The sequence below is a fragment of the Homo sapiens genome, chromosome 5, assembly GCF_000001405.40.
Source record: "Homo sapiens chromosome 5, GRCh38.p14 Primary Assembly".
Classification (NCBI taxonomy): Eukaryota; Metazoa; Chordata; class Mammalia; order Primates; family Hominidae; genus Homo; species Homo sapiens.
The window spans coordinates 8,783,919-8,806,044 of NC_000005.10; the positions used below are offsets into that span (position 1 = coordinate 8,783,919).

The 22,126-nt window shown below is 37.2% G+C and overlaps 1 long non-coding RNA gene across 3 annotated transcripts in view; it reads right to left on the reverse strand.

The window, feature by feature from the left end:
* The window catches only part of LOC101929307 (uncharacterized), an 88,088-nt gene that overhangs the window by 27,515 nt on the left and 38,447 nt on the right, over window positions 1-22,126 (reverse strand). The gene's annotated exons all lie outside the window — the stretch shown is intronic.

Genomic DNA, 22,126 nt, shown 5'->3' on the forward strand with positions numbered 1-22,126 from the left:
TGGGCTGCTGGAAATTCAGTTTGAACTCCCCAGTAATTTGCTATAGACTAAATGTTTGGTTCTCTGTAAAATTCATTTATTGAAACCCTGATCCCCCAATGTTATGGTATTAGAAGGTGGGGCTTTGGTAAGTTATTACATCATGAAATTGGATCTCTCTTGAATGAAATTAATGCCCTTATAAAAGAAACCCTGGAGAGCTTTCTTGTCCCTTCTGCCATGTGAGGACACAGAGAGATGGGACCATTTATGAACCAGGAAGCAGACCAACACCAGACACATAACCAGCCAATATCTTGATCTTGGACTTCCCAACCTCCAGAACTGTGAGAAGTCAATTTGTTGTTTATAAGACACTCAGTCTGTGGTATTCTGTTACAGCAGCCCTAATGAACTAGGGCACTTCTTGACCAGAGTGTTTCCCTTTCTTTTGAACTAAGCAATTTATTAAGGGCTCTTTACTGTGTTTTATCTAGTGCATCTCAGGACGTCCACGAAATTCTGGAATTATCATCAATAAAATTTTCAGGTCGAAAATAATCTAGATGATTGTTTCTATATTAGTCTATGCTCCCAGGTTTTATCAACATACTTGTCTTTAGAATGTGTGAGGGAAAGGGCAGGTTTTGATTCAGCACAGTTCACCAAGCTACTGAAAGGACATAACAAATTTTCACAATCTTCCTGTATAGGAACCATTTCCACTTTTCAACTTCAGACATTAATATAATCTTATTGGGGAGTCATTAAAGGGAATGAGTCATAGACCATATCCTGATGAGGGATACACACTATTTAAGGAGCCAATGCTCTCTTCTCCCTTAACTTTCAGCTGAGCTCATGCATTCTATGATCACTATTTTCTTTCTTTTCTTTCTTTCGTTCTTTTTTTCTTTCCTTTCTTTCTTTTTGCTTTCTTTCTTTCGTTCTTTCTTCTTTCCTTTCTTTTTGCTTTCTTTCTTTCATTCTTTTTTCTTTCTTTCCTTTCTTTATTCTTCTTTCCCTTCCTTCTCTTTCCTTTTCTCCTCTTTCTTTCTCTTTCCTTTCTTTCCTTCTTTTCTTCTTTCTCTTTCTTCCTTTCTTTCCCTCCCTCTCTCCCTCCCTCCCTTCCTTCCCTCTTTCCTTTCTTTCTTTCTTTCCTTTTCTTTTTCTTTTCTTTCTTCTTTTGTCTCTCTCTCTCTCTCTCTCTCTAAGTCCCACTCTGTTGTCTAGGCTCGAGCACAGTGGTGCAATCACACCTCACTGCAACCTCAATCTCCTGGGTTCAATGAATCCTCCCACCTCAGCCTCTCAAGCAGCTGGGATTACAGGTGCATGCCACCATGCCTGGCTAATTTACTTTTGTGTGTGTGTGGTTTTCTTTTGTTGTTGTTATTTTTTGTAGAGATTGGATTTTGCCATGTTTCCCAGGCTGGTGATGATTATTTTCTTCTAGTGTTTGTTTGTGCCACCTGAACACTGAAGTGGTGTACCACCTGATCCTCAGGTCTTCTTGTTTCCCTCCTTCCTCCTGGTGGTGAACAACACTTTTTCTGTGCAGCCAGCATCCCTTTCCTACACCTTTGATTACAATGTCCACCTCCACTCTAGGAAACTTCTTCTTTCCCTCAACATGAGTGCTCTGCTGTCTATGGCAACAAGAGAGAAGGAGTGAGCCAGCCTGACTTATTATATAGCTGTGCTAAGGCCACTATTTCAGGTAGCAGTTCTGTACAGTAAAACATCTCAAAGCTTAGAGCCTTAAAGAAAGCTTGATTTATGTTCTGTCATGTGTTCTGGGGGTTCATAGGGTAGGTCTTCTCCAAGTGTCATTGGCCACAGTGACTCAGGCGGCTGTATTCAGTTGGTGCCTGAGCAAGGCTGGGATGGAGGTCAAAATAGCTCTCTGTCAAGTTTGGGTTTTGATGTGTGTCAAGTGGTTCTACTAGCCTCTCCTCCATACAAACCCTCTATACATGGCCTCTTATCCTCCAGAATATAGCCATAAGCCTCCCTCTTCTGTAGAATCACCTGGGCTTCTCTGCAGCATGACAGTCAGATCTGAGAACTAATTGAAAGCTCCCAGGTCTCTTAATGACTAGTTCTGTAACTGACACAACATCACATCTACCACCTCCTATAGGCAAGTCACTAAACTGGCCAAGATCCGAGGAGAGGAGAAATAGATTAATCTGCAGATAGGAGAAGAAGCTTTCACATATAAAGGGACGTTGAAGTGTCAGTACTCAGTTTTGGAGGCTATCTACCACAGATGCAGCATTTGGTACAAGATTTGGTATAGCATTTGGTACATTTGGTACAGCACCCAAGCCAAGCAAGCAAGTAATCAATATTTCTGGATTGCAAATCATGGAGATGAGAGCTGCTGGTCATCCTGTCTCCTCCAAAAGAGGAAGTCAGTGAGGCCAACACACAAAAGCTGAGCAAAGACAGATACAGAGAGCGGACATGAGCCGAAAGCAAGGTGTGGACTCAGACTTCAATACACTCACCTTGTGGGAGGTTCCTCAGAGCCGCTCACGGCTGAGGCCAAGTCCAGGCTTCTTCTTATAGACAAGTGAATCATTACATTTCTTTCTATTTATCCAATGTCATCTCTTTCTCACACTTGCAACTGAATGAATCCTGGGCATTTTCATTTGTTTGTACAGCTGCAACTTCAGTCTGCATTTTTAAAGCTCCCACTTTGTTATCTTCAACTTGTTTTTGTCTCCTGAATTTTACATATACATATTAAACTCCCCTACAATCACTTACCAGGTAGCTGTACCTCATTGTTACTTCAGAGCCTCAAACTCATCGAAAGTCTAAGCTCCATTATGAAATCATGATTCTACGTAAATCCATTTTTCATGTTGCCATCCCTACATTGGTTCTGGGTACCTCCTTCCATCCAGTTTTCTAAGCCAGCATTCTAGGAGTCTTCTTTCACACTGATCCTTTATTTTGTGAGTAGTCTGGTGCTGAGAAGTGCTCCACCTGAAATCCTCAGCTCTGTCACTTTTCAGTCCCTGCCTCATCTCAGTGATTTCCATCCCTCATAAATTCTCATGGCTGCACTTTCTTCCACTTGCTACCATTCACCTTATCCCACCAAATGCTGTTCCACACAGTTGCCATGGTGACATGATGAAGCAGTAATTTGACCATGTCCTTGCAATACTGACTTCTTCAAAGACTCCTCTTAGACTTCAAAATAAAGCCCCAAAATGGGTGTAGCATCATAGAACCTGTCACTTGCTGATCCTGCTACTTTTTACAGCCGTAACCCATACCTTGGCTTACCCCTTGTCCTCACCCGCACTCTCTTGGGTTTTGCCTACATTGAAATTGTCTCATTTACAAAAATATGTCACTTTTGTTTCTTTAGATATAGGAGTCTGGGGCTTCTGCCTGGATTCTCTTCTTTTCATCTGACGCCCATTGAGACCACCCTAATGGCTTATGTCCAGGGTGGGGTTTAGTAAGGTTGGGACAGCAGATGGGAGAAACTACACAATAAACATCGATCCAATGTAAACACGCACTTACCCTTTCACTCAAATATTATACTTCTAGTCACTTAAAAAATATTGCTCAAATATTCTCTAAGATGATCATGTAACAGTGTAAACATATATCAGAACATCAAATTGTGCCCCATAAATATATAATACATACAATTATTACTTGTCAAAAGTAAAATGAAAAAACAATGTTTTCTATTATAGCAAAAGGTGGAAATCACCTAAATGTTTTTCCATTAGAGACTGATTAAGAAATGTTTTGTACATCCATGCAATGAAATATAATACTAACCACTTGCTAAATCCATATGTAATAACAGCAAGTGAAAAATCATATTATTAAAGGACATGATGAAGGGAAGCATCCTAAGGGTCTGGGAATGCTGCTTACTAGAGAGTTCTACTCTCTCTGTGTTAATTGGAATTTTATTACTTACTGTCAGAAATAATGTATACTTCATTTTTGGAACATAGAGGTAGATATATTTAGATATCCCACTAAATAAATCTCAACTTCTGGGTTAGAATTGGAAATTTTTTATCTCAGAATAAAAATGACCCATTTTCTCTCTTTGACTGTTTCCTAGTTTAATTTTCTGTCCACATTATGCTGCTAAAGTGCGTGGAAGAGCTATGGAATACAATTAGATATGTTCAAAGAATTACTTTTATTCTAAATCTCATTTTTAGCTGCTTAAAACTTCTTGAAAAAAAAAATGTGCCTTTGGCCTAAGATTTCTCGAGCTGTTCTCAAGCTAACACTCAATTTTATTTGGAAAGCTGGGTGGAAGTTATCTAGTTCCTTTCAGTTTTCAATATTTAAACCAATGTTTTTATTGCACTGAAAGGAAAAACAATAATGTTCAAATACTTTATTTATGAGTAACCTGAAAAGGTTTCCATTAAATTATCCTCAAGTTGGCATGGTTGCAGTCTGAATTAAAAACAAAAGGAAACCCAAAGCATGTTTTCTCTATCCATACTGGCATCCAGGTAAGTAAAATTGAGCAACAGCAACTAAAACACTATTGTCTTTGTGGTCTCTGTGTTAACATCAACTTTCACGTGGACCCACACATATAAACAAGTCTTCGTGGCATTAGACCGCAGTGTAAGTCTTTCCTTGTGCAAATGATTTATTTTTACATTTGTTTGTTTTTAATTATGGCAGCAAACCAATATGGCATTTCCTGTATGTTAACATTATGTCTCTCTTCTCTCTCTCTACCTCTCCCTCTCTCCCCCTGCCTCCCTCTCTCTCTCTCTCTCCTACCTCCCTCTTACCTCCCTCTAGCTCTCTCTTCCTCTCTCTCTCCCACCTCCCTCTTCCTTTCTCCCTCTCTCTCTTCCTCTCTTCTCCCTCTCTCTCTCCTCCCTCCCTCCTTTTTATTTGTCTCTCAATTCAGATTATTCTCTCTTTGACCTTAGTAGTATTGATTATTCATTTAAAAATAATGATCCAGGCCAGGCATGGTGGCTCATGCCTATAATCCCAGCACTTTGGGAGGCCAAGGGGGGCAGATCACCTGAGGTCAGGAGCTCAAGACCAACCTGGCCAACATGGTGAATCCTCGTCTCCACTAAAAAATACAAAAATTAGCTGGGCGTGGTGTTGGGTACCTGTAAGCCCTGCTACTCGGGAAGCAGAAGTAGAAAAATCACTTGAGCCCGGTAGGCAGAGGGTGCAGCGAGCCAAGATCACGCCATTGCACTCCAGCCGGGGCAGCAGAGAGACTCCATCTCACAAAAACAAAAAACAAACAAACAAAAAACTTTATCCTTGGCATGGGCCTATTTTCGTGAATACTATTTATCAAAAGCTTTCCTTCAATTTCCTGATTTTACTCCCTTGCCCCATGTTCTGAGACACCTGGTGGTGCCAGTTTTCAGCCATCAGATCAACCTGCTTTGTGAAGTCAATGAACTCCTGGCATTGCTCACCATCCTCTAAGGGCATATATGTTACACTTCAAATCACAATAAAATCCCGCCTTGAGTGTCCCAGGTCAGTTATTAGCATCTCTTTCCAGCATCCAAAACACCTTTACTATTGTTGCCTCCCCTGTTCTCACAACACTTGTATTTTGTGTGTGTGTTTTCTTTAAATTAGTTCTAGTGGTGGTTCTTGGAGGGAGCATATTTAGTTCTCATACTTTGAATTTTATTCACCAACTTATCCTAGAAAGTGTGTAAAATTTGTCAAGTGAGCACAAAGCAATTGTCCTTCGTAAGTGGCCCTGGAAGGCTGAAACAGCAAAGAAAATCTAACCATGACTGCCACAGTTTTTTTCTGTACTATTTTAGGTGGAAAAAAAAAATGCCTGAAGTCTTCAGAGCTACATGTCATAGGCAAAGTAACATTTTATGTAATAACAAACTAAATATATCCCAGAACAGCAGTACTAACGCATTTAAATTTCTGTGTTATTGAACACAAATTAAAGAATCATTTACTCTCTTACATATTAAGACGCACAGTTAAAAGCGAACCTATAAAATATACAAATTAAGTTTAAACAGAATTATCTAATGCCTCTGCGTGAGGAAGATAATTATTGGTAACTTCCCAGCTATAAGCTATTTATGTTTTAACCATGAACTAGAAGAACATTTAAAGTGAGTTTTGTAATCCATTTTTTCTTATCCAATTTAACTTCCCCTAAAAGTTCAATTAGAAATTTATGAGGAAGAAATCAGAAATCATTAGAGTAAAGCTGCTATCAAATTTCTGATTTATGGACTTCCAAACTTTTAGCCTTCTACCCTTTTTTGATTAAAACTCCTATTCTTTACTAATCCACAGGAACGAACAATTTAACTCTAATTTGTCATTGCCAAATACATTTGAAATGTTTCTTATTGATGCAATGATATATGTGACTCTACATAACGCTTATTTTCAAAGGATTTGTATTAATATACATATATAACTATATCTGTAGCTCCATCTATGGTTAATGGTTTTCGTGGATTTCTATTTCAAGCAATATGGCAGACTAAATAGAAGGCCACTCCATCTTAGATGAATTGAAACAAATACATCTTAAATTTACTGTGAAGCTTACAGATGTCAGACAGGATGTAAGACAACTGTCTAAAGGGCAAAAGGAAAAACAGAACATTGCAGGGAAAACACATGTTATAAAACCTGGAATTTCCTGGAAAAAAAAAAAGCCAACCCAAACCTAGCACCTGTAAATGTTGGAGACCTAAGTGTGAGACTCTTCCTTTAATCCTTGACACATTGTAGGCCCTCAGTATTTCTGTGATTAATTTTAACCAATGAGGAAAAACATACCACCAATGGCAAAAGAAAACAAGTCACCAATGGTTGGTAGTCAGTAGAAACAATCCAATATAAATAAAACCTCAAAGGCTTCAGATACTAAAATTATAACGGAAAATGCTGTGTATGAAATATCTAAACAAAAGAAGGAATCACATATTAAGCAGCAATATGCTATCAGAACTGGCAAGGAAGATTTGGAAAATCACTAAATAAAGCATTTAAAGATGAAAAATATAATCACTAATAATCAAACTTCAATTAGTCTATTTAATGCCAACTAGGGAAAGGCTGAAGAAGTAACTGGTATCTTTGGCAATAGAAACAAAGAAAGTATGCAGAATATATTGAGTCAAAGGATAGTAACAGACATATTCCACATTCTATTGAATCATTAATAACCTATCCCAAAACTTAGTAGCCTAAAAAATCAATTATTTTATCCTCCACATGGATTCTGAAAGTCAGTAGTTCATTTAGGGCACAACTACAAGCAAGGATGGTTTCTTTCTGTTCAACGATGTGAGGGGCCTCAAAAGCGGGGGGTGACTTCAGCTGATGGCTGATGGCTAGGTGACATCAACACTCACGTCTGATGGGTGATGTTGGTTGGCAGCTTGTACCTAAGTTGGGCTGTCAACCAGAACAACTGCATGTGGCCTCCACACACAAGCTTTTACCTGTGTGCCCCATGAGAAAGCTTATTTGAGGTTCCTCATATTATGAGGCTGGCCCCAAAAGCAGGTGTCCCAAAAGACTGCAACATTATTATGACCTAGCCTTGGAAGTCAGATGGAATCACATCTGCTATACTCTGCTGGTTGAACAGTCACAAAAATCCACTGAATTCCAGAAGCAGGGAACTAGGTGCATCCCACTCTTTGATGAGATGAATGCCAAGATCACATGGCAAGCAAATCACGTTGAGCCATCTTTAGAAACACACTTGGCTACAGAAAGGTAAAATCTATGGAATGGATTGAGAAGGTCCTAAATAAAGATAATCAGAATCCTGGAAAGGGGAAAGACAACAGCAAGGAAACAATTTTCCAAATGAAAGTGGCTGAGAATTTCATACAAGAATGAAGGCACAAATCCCCAAACACAGGAATCACAAGCTATAAAAGTAAGGATAAGTAAAAGAAAACTTGTCTTTTCATATTGTAATGAAGCATACAAACAAACATACAAAAACAAAAGACAAAGAAAATTCTTAGGATAAAAAGAGGAAAGACAGCTCATCTAATAGAATAACATGAAGACGGCTCCTCAGGCACAAAAGTGAAGGCCAAGAAAGCAGGGAGTTATGTCACTAAAGTCTCATAGAAATCTAATCTCCTCCTGGAACTGTCTATTCAGAAATGTTTTTTTTTCATTAGTGAAGGTAAAATATATTTCAGATTATCAAAAACTAAAAAGAAATTCACCATCTTAAAAAAATCAACATGTGTCAAACTTGGCTAATGAATTTTCAAGGATATATTTTAAAAAGAAGAAAAATGACTCTAAGAGAAAAATGAACCAAAACATTGGTGAATATGTTGGTAAATACAAACTGGGAATTTTTTGCATTAAAAAATGACAAAATAATTAAAAATATCTTCTTTCTAAAGTTAAAGTGATGAAGAATTTCTAGAATTAAAATATTAGACTACAATAGCTTGTGATATTGTTTGGATCTATGTCCGGGCCCAAATATCATGTGGAATTGTAATTCCCAATGTTGGAGATGGGGCTGATGGAAGGTGATTGGATCATGGGAGTGGTCCTTCATGAATGGATTAGCTCCCTCTTCTTGGTGCTGTTCTCATGATAGTGAGTGAGTGATTTATTGTGAGATCTGTTTTTTTAAAAGTGTATAGCACCTCCCTCCTCTCTCTTGCTCCTACTCTGGCCATGTAATATGTGTGTTCTCTCTTCACCTTCTGCCATGATTGTAAGTTTCCTGAGGCCACCCCAGAAGCTGAGCAGATACCAGCATGATGCTTCCTGTATAGCTTTCAGAATCATGAGCCAGTGAAACCTCTTTTCTTTGTAAATTACTCAGTCTCAGGTATTTATAGCAATGTGAGAATGGCCTAATACAGCATGTAAGTTGAGGTGTGGGAAGGAAAATGAACGGTTAATGTTTCCTAAGCTCATCTTACTGTTCAGGAGGGAAGGTTCAGATATTGATTGCTTCTAGACATCGTTAAATGCAGTTTACAAAATTGAAGGGATAGTCATTAAAGTAATGAAAACCAAGCATACAATTTACATACCAGTAAAGGGGTAAAATGAAATTTAAAAATAAACATGTAAAAATGGAACAATAAAAATAGGTCAAGAAAGAAGGATTTTTTAATATGAATAAAGTGGGACAAAAAAGCATTAGGAATTGAGTCCAAATATTACTAATCACAATAAACATAGATCCAATCATTAACCTACAGAAAGTAGAGATTAACCAATTGCATTTTTAAAAAGTCAAATGCTTAATACGAGACAAAATCTAAAACCTACATGTATTATTATAAGACTGGGCTCAGAGGTTCCTGCTGCTGTTTCACATCCCTCTATAAAGATTGAGATATTTGCAAAATGAGGAATCTGGGATCTTATATCCTAGCAAGACACAAGTTTTCATGGCTTCTCTGATCTTCCCTGAGATAACTAAATGGGGGAAAAAGAGAACTGAGGATGGCTGGGCAGTGCAAGAGGCAGCAGTGGACACATTGCCCCAATCCTTGGCCTGGCAAGGATGCTGTGCAAGGTGGCTTTGCAGGAGGAATCTCGTGTGACTCCCTTTAGTGGGTTGACCCCTTGGAGAGGACCCCAGTTACAAAGTCTGTGGGGAGTTCTATCATAGTACAGTATTGATTTTGGAGGAAAAGGCCTAGCCACAACCTCATACTCCACATCAAGGAAGCGTGCAATAGGAACACCCATCTTGGGGCCAGAAAAGAGAGTAACTTTGCTCAAACCTTCAATGATAGTTCCTTAGAGGGACATAGAGACTCAGGTCGATCTGACTCTGGGCCACCCCTCCAGCTCATCCTCCAGCCACCAGGAGCCTCAGAAACAGGTCCTTCCCTTCATACTCCATCAGGCTACTGATCTCGCTCCCTGAAATTCCCCCTTTCAGTAACTCCACGTTCTTCAGAACTGCACCCTTCTCAGTCCATCTGTGCTAAGGCCCCAGCCTGGGATCTATGCTTCTTCCCAGCTCCTGTGGTCCCATGTCTACTTCTGTCCTTGTGCTGACTACACCCAGCTCTGACTGCCTGGGTAATATCACCATATAGTAATGAACCAGGGAAATAAATTGGAAAAAGGGAATAGAAAGAAATGTCTCAATGGGACTAATTATGGAATATAAAACACAATGACTCCCTGTATGCACTGGAAAAAGGCAGAGAGAAAAAGCTAACAAGACAGGCACCCCTAGTGAAGCAAATTAGGTTCCTGATTACACCGCTGTGGAGCTGAAAGAGAAAGTTCTCCAGGGTCCCTGTGCATCTCTGGTCTCTCCATTCAGAGTGGGGTGCAGGGCTGCAGGTGCCTTTCTCCTTCCTGGGGTATAGATCCTAAGGTGTAAGGTCCCCAGAGTGCTGAAACTGTGTGACACACAGGTGTAAACCCACTCTTATGGCTGACTCCTGAGGATGGGAGCTTCCAGTGGGGTCTGGGACTGCATACCAATTCCCCTCACTTAAGACCACTGAGGGTGACTGTGCTGTGAGGTATGGTAAGCGCCATTTGGATGGTGTCTTACATTGCAGGGAACGATATGTCTAGTCATTCTCTACATCCAGCTTTTGTGAATGTGCACCCGATAAAAGAGACTGAGGGCGAGTCACCTGTGGAGGAGCTGCTTTATAGTCTAAGGTAAACTCAGTACTCTGTATATCCATAGCAATACAGGAACAAATCTGTCTTCTCCTTTCCCCTGATAAAGTCTTATGTTGTTACTATGGCAACTCAGTCCACAAAATTGATAATAATTAGAAACAAAATAGGAGAACATCTTTACCTACTGGAACTGGGAAATAAATCCCCAAAAGTACAAAGAAAAGATAGGCAAATAGCAAGCCAGTGGCCAAATGTAATAAAACACAGTTGGGCAGTTTATGGGACTGAGGAAATGTATCCTGCCCTTGGTAACCACCTGTTTTATTCTCTATCTCTCTGTATTTGACTTTTTAAAGAAACTTTCTTTTTAGATTCCACATTTAAGTGACATCACACAGCATTTTTCCTTCTGTGTCTGGTTTATTTCATGTCTTCTAGATTCATCTATCTTGTAGCAAATGTCAGGATCTCTTTCCTTTTTAAGGTTGAATAATATTTTATTAAACACAAACACACACATACACACACACACATACACACTTCAGTCTCTTAATCTATTCAGCCATTGATGATACTTCAAATGTTTCCATATTTTGGTTATTGTGAACAGCACTTCAATGAACATGGAAACGCAGGTATCTTTATGAGGTGGTGACTTGATTTCTTTTTGATCTGTACCCAGAAGAGGGATTACTGGGTGGTACGTTAGTTCTATATTTAATTTCTTTAGGGACCTCCATACTGTTTTCTACATGACTGCACTAATCTACATTCCTACCAACAGTGTACACGGGCTTCCTTCTCTCAATAACCTCCCCAGCACTTCTTATACAATCTTAATTGATGCATAAAAATCATTTGACATAGTCTGACATATTTTCTTGACAAAAATCATTAACAATTTAGGTATGTAAGAAATTTACTCAATGTATTACAGGACATTTATGAAAAAACACACAGTTAACATTATGATCATCTAATACTCAGCACAAAGCAAGGATGTCCACTCTCACCACTTCTGTTCAACACAGTACTGGAAATATTGGCAAGAACAGTCAGAAAAAAAAGTAAGTCAAAGGAATACATCAGAAAGAAAGAAGTAAAAATATCTCTATTGGTATACAGTATAATCCTGTATCTTTAGCTTTTTATTTACAAAATTTACATGACAACACGCTTTTTTAAAAATCATTTGAAAAATACAGTAGGGTGTTTTGTAAAATATACTTTATTATGTTTATAATACATATATTAGTATATACTATATATTCTACCAAAAAAGGACAGTCTATGTTCCTTCTCCTCACTCTGAGTTTCCAAATATTGCTACCCAAAGCTAGCTTCTTCCCTAAATGGAACCACTTTTAACAGCTTGTATGTGTATCTTGGAGGGAGGAAGGGGTGAGAGAAGAGATAAAAATATACCAAGTTTTCTAAACCTCACACTGTTGACATTTTGGGCCATATCATTCTTTGGTTTAGGATACTGTCATATACACTGTGTAGGATGTTTGGCAGTATTCTTCACCTCTACCTAGTAGATGCTAGTAGCATACACCTCTCCAGTTTTGTCAAACAAAAATACTTTTAGACATTGCCACCTGAGGTGGCTGCTCTAGAGAAATCTTTCTTTACCTCATTTTCCTTTTTCTCCACTTACACTTCAATGAGCAATGATGACATGAGTCTTCCCTGAAAAGGTCCTGAATTTATCTCACAGTTGTGAAAGTAATAGGACAGGGAAAGTTCCTCAATACCATGCTGGTGGGGGCCTAATGCCTCCCAGTGCCATATTCAAAAATTTAAGAACTGTCACACTGGGTTGGCTCCATGTGTCCCCACAACATCTCTATGTATACAACAGGATCTTAAAGTTGTTGCTACCTGGATTGAGTGTGCTACAATCTGTGGGAAATTAAGAATGACAGGAACTCTTGCTATGGAAAATCAAAACTTTTATTTCAAAAAAAGCTAGCCTCTCATACATTGCTGATAAGAATTTAAATTGCAGTGACGTCAACAACATGGTGGAACAGGAGGCTCCTGACTCTTCCTCCCACAGACATAACAAGTAAACACCTAGACATGGATTGATTGTCTCCAGACGAAGCCAAAACCCACTTTAAAGACTCTGAGGCAACTGGGGACTAAGAAAATATCCATATCAATATAAATGGGAAAAGTGAAGATACACCTATGAACCAACCCTACACTGAGCACAGCACGTTGTAATTGAGAAGGAAACCCCAGCTCCCAGCTATTTTCTGGAGTGAGAGGCATATACCGCACAGAGAATGTCCAACTTTTACAGTTCCTGCAGGAGGGCATGGCTGTTACATCACCTTTTTTGAAAAATGGCTGCGACAAGGCATCAGGAAATTTTTCTCAAGCACAAAAAACAAAGAGGAGTTTTGAACCACATGGACACTCCCAGATGCTGTAGCATCTCCTAGAAAGAGTTTGGCTGCACACTTTCCCAGCAGCTCTCTGTCATTCTGGCCTGCATCAAGCCAGTATCAGGAAGCATACAAAGAAAATTAAAAAAAAAAAAAAATGAATCTCTTCCAGCCTAAACGGGAAGCCTAACACTCTCTGTACCCTTCTCTCCTGGTTTGTTTCAGTGATAACTCAAGACAAAAAAGTTCCCTCTGCAAGAAGGGTAAGAACCATCTGTTTTATTGCAAATGGGAGTGGGTCCAGCCCTACAATCTCTCCCAGAAAAGAGGCTGGAGGCCTCTACGTGTAAGAATAGGAGCAACAACACTCCTCACCACTCTTCCCCTGGCTTGTTTCTGAGGAAAATTTCTTCAGTTTCTTATTATAGGGAGGCTAGGGGACATCTCTGTTCTGAAAGAGAAAGGGATAACTCCCTGTGTACTTTTCCTTGGCTTAATTCAATGATAACTCCAGACCAGAATACTCATCCTACAAAAGGGGTGAGAAGGCAGCTTGCTTGAACAAAAGGGCAAGAACTTTCTGTGCCCTTTTCCCCTGCTTTCTCCAGCAATAATTCCAGTCCTGAAATCATTCCATAGAAATAGGTTACAGGCCTCTGCCAGCAAAAACAGTAAGAATGGCACTCCTCAGCTTTCTCCCTCAGCTTGCTCCAGAAATTAACTCTTTCAATTTTTCATTGAAAGGAGGCAAGGAGACTTCTCCATGCCTGAAATGGAAAATAGACACTGCATGTGCCTTCCTTGCTGACTTGCTTTGGTGATAACTCCAGACCAGGAATCTCTGTAAGGAAGGTATGGTATTTAAACTTACTCAAACAGGAGAGTGGGTACTCCCCATGTTTTCTGTCCTGGTTTGCTCCAGCAGTTAATCCAGATAGGAAGAATCTCCCTTAGCTTCTGTACATATTGAACATTTTAACATTTATACCCTCTACTCAAAGGACTGGCTCATAAATTACCTAACTGGGAGTTCACAAAGCTCTGCACTTCTTAGACTCTTATACTAAAGAGAACAAATAGATGACTTTTAAACTTGTAAATGTCCAGCAGCCATCTCTCCCCATTCAAAGTGAGCAGTATGATAAACAGTACTGACATCTGCCTTAGACCCTCTCCTTGACAAAGGGCAGAAGGTATAGAAAGTAAATTCTGGCTCTAAGCTTCTCTGCAAGGAAAGAATAAATTTGACCACAAATTTAACACTCTATGCTCTTCAACTGCATGTGAAGGGACTGCCTTCTATCTCAACTCTCTCAACGCAATAGAACAACATTTTGACACTTTCTAATTTCTTGGATGCCACTAAGAACAATGGCAACAGGTTGGACAAGCATAAAGAGTTTTGAGGAACCTAACATCTCTACCAAGGCTGAATAAGGAGGAATATCTCTGACACAAAACCAGTTTAACAAGACTTTGAAGAAGTCTTTTGTTTTGTTTTGGATTTTTCTTTGTTTATCTAATGCACATAAAAATGCATAAAGTCAAGGAAAGTGAAGATGGGAAAATATATTCCAAATGAAAGCACAAGATAAAGCTGCAGAATAAAATCCCAATGAAACAGAGATATGTGGTTTACCTGACAGAAAATTCAAAAAGATAGCTGTAAAGATGTTCACTGTGGTAAGGAGAGCAATGAGGGAACAAACTGAGACCATCAACATAGAGATAGAAAATATTAAAGGTAATAAACAGAAATAATTGACCCAAAGTACACAATAGCTGAACTTAAAAATTCAATGGAAGTGTACAACAGCAAACTAGATCAAGCAGAAAAAAAATAATTAGCGAACTTGAAGACAGGTTATTTAAAATCATCCAATCTGATGAACAAAAAGAAAACAAAAGGTGAAGACAACCTAAAAAAATTTATAATACTATCAAGTAAAATAATATATGCATTATTTATGTACCAGAAGGAGAAAAGAAAGAGAGAGACATAAAACATGTTCAAATAAATAATGGCAGAAAAATGCCCAAGTTTGGAAGAGGAAATATAAATTCAGATCTAGAAAGCTCAATGAATACCTGATATGATTATTTCCAAGGGACACACATCAATTTACATCATAATCAAATTGTTAAAATTTGAAGACAAAGAGAGAATATTGAAAGCTGCAAGAGGAAAGTGACCTGTTACATACAAGAGGAGCTCCATTACACTCTCATGGGATTTTTCAACAGAAACCCTGGAGGCCAGAAAGGAATGGAATGCTATACTTCAAAAGCTAAACAAACAAACAAAGACTAGCAATCAAGAATACTGACCCCAAAAATACTGTCATTCAAAAATAAGGCAGAGATAAAAAAATTTTCCCAGACAAAGGCTGAGATATTTATTATCCCTACATTTTCCTTACAAAAAATGCTAAAATGAGTCCTTAAAACTAAAGAAAAGTATTTCTAAGTAGTAATATGAAAATACAAAACTCACTGGTGAAAACAACTATAGCTACAATAATTTCTTAGCGGCACAAAGTATAAAACATATAAAATTTGCAAACAAAACAAATTGTGGGGCAAGGGGAGCAAAAGTGTAGACTTCTCGCAGGTGATAAAAGTTAAGTCATTATCAGCTTAATACAGCCTTTTATTAGTATAAGATTTTTTATGCAAGCCTCATGGAAACCACAAAGCAAAAATGTTTGTTTATATATACACAAAGGATTAAAACAAATAATTCAAATACTATCAGTAAAGAAAATAATTAAAGCACAAAATAAGAAAGCAAGAAAAACAAAGGATCTAAAAATTAACCAGAAAACAATATTTAAAATTTCAATAGTAAGTCCTTACCTATTAACAATTACTTTAAATGTAAATGAATTTAATTACCCAACAAAAGGCAGCAAGTGGCTGAATAAATTAAAAGAAAATCCAATTGTATGCTATCTATAAGACTCACTTCACTTCTAATAACACACATAGACTAAAGGTAAATAAATGGAAAAAGATATCCCACAGAAATAAAAAACAAATGGTGTGTGTAACAATATGTATAACAAATAAAATATACATTAAGTCAAAAACTGTAAAAAGAGAAAAAGAAAGTCATTATTTTATGATAACATGGTCAATTTATCAAGGAGATATAGTAATTGCAAATACGTATGTACCTAACATAAGAACACCTAAATTCATTAAGCAAATACTAATAAATCTGAAGGGAGAGATAGACTGTAATACTATAATAGTAAGATATTTCAATATCCCACTTCAACATTAGACAGAAAATTTAGACATAAAATTAATAAGGAAACATTACACTTGAACTACACTTTATAACATATATACTTAAAAGATATTTACAGAACATTTCATCTAACAGCAACAAAATATACCTTCTTCTAAAGTTGACACAAAACATTCTTCAAGATATATTACAACTTAAGTCACAAAACCATTTTTAGTACATGTAGTAAGAATTGAATCATATTGAGTATCTTTTCTGACCTCACTGGCACAAAATCAAAAATCAATAATGACAGCAATCTTGGAGAACTCACAAATATTTGGAAATTAAACATCATGCTACTGAACAACCAAAGAGTGAGAGAATGATTTTAAAAAAAAAATTAAAATTATCTTGAGATGCACAAAAATGGAAACATACCTTACCAAAACCTATTGGATGTAGCAAAAGCACTACTAAGAGGAAAGTTTATAGCAATAAAATGGCTACAACAACAAAAGAGAAAGATCTCAAATAAACAACCTAATGTTACACCTCAAAAAACTAGAAAAGACAGAAAAACGTAAGCCCAAGTTTAGCAGAATAAAGGAAATAACAAAGAAGGCAGAAATAAAATCAAGTCTAGAAAAATAACAGGAAGTATTTTAAAAACCAAAGTTTTTTTCAAAAAGATAAAATCAGCAAACATTTAGCTAGACTAACAAAGAAAGGTCAATTTTTCTGATGAACACAGATGCAAAATAACAGAAACCTGAACTCCATGTCACATAAAAAATTAGTTATCATGATCAATGATATGTGAGGGATGCAAGATTAACTTAACATATGTAAATCAATGTGATATACTATATTCACCAACTGAAGGGCAAAAACCACACGATCATTTCAATAGATACAGAAAAAAATTAACAAAATTCAATATCCATTCATATCAAAAGCTCTCAAAAAATGGATATAGAGGGAATGTGTCTCAACACACTAAAGGCCACTTATAACAAGTGCACAATTAACAGCCTACTGAATGAGGAAAAATTTGAAAGCTTTTCCTCTGAGATCAGAGACTTGACAAGAATATTCATTCTTGTTATTTTTTTAAACATAGTAGTAAAAGTCCTTGTGTAAGCAATTAGGCGACAGAAGAGGAAAGAAAGGAAGGAAGGAAGTGATGGAGGGAGGGAGGGAAAGAAACAGAAAGAGAAAGAAAGGAAGAAAGAAACAAAGGCAGAAAAAGAAAGAAAGAAAGAAAAAGAAAGAAAGAGAGGGAGGGAGGAAGAAAGAGAAAAAGAAGAAAGAAAGAAAGAAAGAAAGAAAGAAAGAAAGAAAGAAAGAAAGAAAGAAAGAAAGAAAGAAGAGGGAGGGAGGGAGGAGAAAGAAAGGCAGGAAGGAGAAACAAAGAAAGAAAAAGAAGAAAGAAAGAAATAAAGAAAAAGAAAGAAAAAAGAAAAGAAAGAAAGAAAGAGAGAAAGAAAAGACAGAAAGATGAAAAGAAAAGAGAAATGAAAGGAAAAGAGAAGAAAAGAAAGAGCATCCATATAGGAAAGGAAGAAATGAAAGGTTTTTTGCTAATGTCATGATCTTATACCCAGAAAACCCTAAAGACTCCACTAAAAACCTGTTAGAATGCATAAACTAATTCAGCAATGTTGCAGTTTACAAAATTCACATACAAAAATTAGTACCATGTCTATACACTAATAATAAACTATCTGAAAAGAAATTAATAAAACAATCTCATTTACAATAGCACTAAAAAATACATAGAATTAAATTTAATCCAAGAGTGAAAGATCTGTGCACCACAACAATAAAACTTTGTGGAAATAAATTGAAGAAGACAAATACATCAAAAGATATCCCATGTTCATGGACTGGAAGAATTAATACCCCCAAAATGTTCATACTATCCAAAGCAATCTACAGTTTTAATAAGTCACTATTTAAACATGCCAATGACATTCTTCATAGAAATAGAAGAAAAATCCTAAAACATGTATAGAAAAAGAAAAGACCCCAAATAGACAAATCAATTATTGGAAAAAAGAAAAAAGTTAGAATCATCACACTCTCTGATTTCAAAATATATTACAAAGCTACTGTGATCAAAAGAGTATGGAACTGGTATAAAAACAGACACATCAACCAATGGAACAGAATAGAAAGCTCAGAAAAAAAATCCAAGTAATTACAGTCTATTGATTTTCAACAAAAGTTTCAGGAATACACAATGGAAAAAGAATACATAAATGGATGTTGAGACAACTGGATATCCACATGCAGAAAAATAAAATTGGACCCTTAGCTTACAACATATAAAAATTCAACTCAAAATAGGTAAAATACTTCAGTGTAAGGCCCTAAAACTGTAAAGCTACTACAAGAAAACAGTGGAAAAACTCCACAACTTGGGTTTCGGCAATGGTGTTTTTGAATAGGACTCCTAAAGGACAGCAACAAAAGCAAAATTAGACAAATGGGATTGCATCCAAGTAAAAATATTCTGCACAACAAAAGAAACAACTAACAGACTGAGAGAAAACCCACAGATTGGGAGAAAATACTGAAACTTCAGCATTTCCTCAGTTCCGGGACCTACTGCTGATATCAAAATCCACTGATGCTCAAGTCTAATATATAAAATGGAATAATATTTAATTTTGTTTATGTGGTGTATCAAATCTATTGATTTGCGTATGTTAACCCATCCCTGCATTCCTGTTATGAAACCCACTTGATCATGGTGAATTATCTTTTTGATATGCTGTTGAATTCAGTAAGGTAATATTTTGTTGAGGATTTTTGCATCTATGTTCATTAGGAATATTTGTGGTTTTCTTTTTTTGTTATGTACTTTTCTGATTTTGAATTAGGGTGATACTGACTTCATGGAATGATTTAGGGAGCAATTCTTTATCTTTTGTAATATTTTAAATAGGATCAGTACCAATTCTTCATTAAGTGTCTGATAAAATTCTGCTGTGAGTCCATCTGGTTCTAGACCTTTTTTTGTTGGAATTTTTTTTGGTTACCATTTCAATCTCACTGTTTGTTACTGGTCTGTACAAAGTTTCTATTTCTTCCTGGCTTAATCAAGGAAGGTGGTATATTTCCAGGAATTTATCCCTCTTCTCTAGGTTTTTTAGTTTATGCACATAAAGGTGTTCATGGTATCCTTAAATGATCTTCTGTATTTCTGTAGTATCAGACGTAATATCTTCCATTTTGTTTCTAATTGAACTTATTTCAATCCTCTCTCTTCTTTTCTTGGTTAATCTCACTAATAGTCGATTAATTTTTATTATATTTTTGAAGAACCAGCTTTTTGTTTCATTCACATTTTGTATTTTTTTGTTTAAATTTTATTTAGTTCTGCTCTGGTCTTTGTTATTCTTTTCTTCTACTTGGTTTCGGTTTGGTTTGTTCTTCTTTCTCTAATTTCTTGAAATGTGACACTAGATTATCTATTTGTGGTCTTTCAGACTTTTTGATGTAGGCATTTAATGCTATGAACTTTCCTCTTAGCACTGCTTTTGCTGAATCCCAGAGGTTTTCATAGGTTGTGTCACAATTATCCATCAGTTAAAATAATTTTTAAATTTCCATCTTGATTTCATTGTTGATCCATTGATCATTCAGTAGCAGGTTATTTAATTTCCATGTATTTGTATGGTTTTGAGGGTACCTTTGAGAGTTGATTTCCAATGTTATTCCACTGTGGTCTGAGAGAGTATTTGATAAAATTTACATTTCCTTACATTTATTGAGGCTTGTTTTGTGGCTTATCATATTGTCTATCTTGGAGAATGTTCCTTGTGCTGATGAGTAGAATATATATTCTGCAGTTGTTGGGTACAATGTTCTGTAAATATCTGTTAAGTCCATTTGTTCTAGGGCATAATTTAAGTATATTGTTTCTTTGGTGATTTTCTGTCTTGATGACCTGTCTAGCGCTGTCAGTGGAGTACTGAAGTCCCCCACTAATATTGTGTTGCCGTTTATGTCATTTATACAGTCTAGTAATATTTGTTTTATAAATTTGAAAGGCCTAGCATTAAGTGCATATATGTTTAGGAGTGTGATTTTTTTTTTTGTTTCACTAGAGTTTTTATCCAGAAAAAGCATTTGACAAAATCCAGCATCCCTTTTTAATTAAAATCCTCAGTAAAACTGGCATAGAAGGGACACACCTTAGGGTAATAAAAGCCATCTATGACAAAACTACAACTAACATTGTACTGAATTGGGAAAAGTTGCAAACATTTCCCCTGAGAACTGGAACCAAACAAAGATGCCCACTTTCACCACTTCTATTCAACATAGTACTGGAAGTCCTAGCCAGAGCAATCAGAGAAGAGCATGAAAGAAAAGGCATCCAAATGGATAAAGAAGGTGTCAAACAATCACTGTTTACCAATGATACAATCATATATCTACAAAACCCTAAAGACTCATCAAAGAAGCTCCTAGATCTGATGAATAAATTCAGTAAAGTTTCAGGATAGGAAACCAATTTACACAAATTATTAGCACTGCTATACACCAATAGCAACCAAGCTGAGAAAAAAAAAATCAAGAACTCAACCTCTTTTACAACAGCTGCAAATAATAATAATAAAATACTTAGTAATATGGTTTGGCTGTGTCCCCACCCAAATCTTACCTTGAATTGTAATAATCCCCATGTGTCAAGGGGGCCAGGTAGAGACAACTGAATGGGGGTAGTTTTTCCCATACTGTTGTCATGGTAGTGCATAAGACTCATGAGATCTGATGGTTTTATACTTAGGAGTTCCCCCACACAAGCTTCTTGCCTGCCACCATGTAAGATATGCCTTTTGCCTTCTGTCATGATTGTGAGTCCTCTCCAATCATGCAAAACTGTGAGTCCATTAAGCCTCTTGTTCTTTATAAATTACCCAGGATCAGGTATGTTTTTATCAGCAGGATGAAAACAGACAAATACAGTAAATTGGTACTGGGAGTGGGGTGCTACTTTAAAGATACCTGAAAATGTGGAAGCAACTTTGGAACTGGGTAACAGGTAGAGGTTGGAAGAGTTTGGAGGGCTGAGAAGACGATGGAAAAATGTGGGAAAGTTTGGAACTTTCTAGAGACATGGAGTACTCACAAGACAGGAAGATGTGGAGAAGTTTAGAACTTCCTAGAGATTTGTTAAATGGCTGTAACCAAAATGCTGATAGTAATATGGGCAATAAAATCCAGATTGAGGTGGTCTCAGATAGAGATGAGGAGGTTGTTGGGAACAGGAGTAAGGTCACTCTTGCTATGCAAAGAGACTGGCAGCATTTTGCCACTGCCCTAGAGATCCGTGGAACTTTGAACGTGAGAGAGATGATTTGGGTATCTGACAGAACAAATGTCTAAGCAGCAAAGCATTCAAAAGGTGACTTGGGTGCTGTCAAAAGTATTCAGTTTTGAAAGGGGAAAGAGTACAAAAGTCCAGAAAATTTATAGCCTGACTATGAGACAGAAAAGAAAAACCCATTTTCTGACAACAAATTCAAGCCTGCTGCAGAAATTTGTATATGTTGATAAGAAGCCAAATGTCAACTCCTAAGACAATGGGGAAAATGTCTCCAGGGCCTCTCAGAGATCTTTGTGGCAGCCCCTCCCACAACAGGCCCAGAGGCCTAGGAGGAAAAAATGGTTTTGTGAGCCTGGCCCAGGGTCTCCCTTCTGTTTGCAGCCTAGGGACTTGGTGCCCTGCATCCCTCCCACTTTACCCATGGATATAAGTGACCAAGGTACAGCACAGGCTGTGGCATCATGGGGTGCAAGCTCCAAGCCTTGGAAGCTTCCATATGGTGTTGAGCTATATAGGTGCACAGAAGTCAAG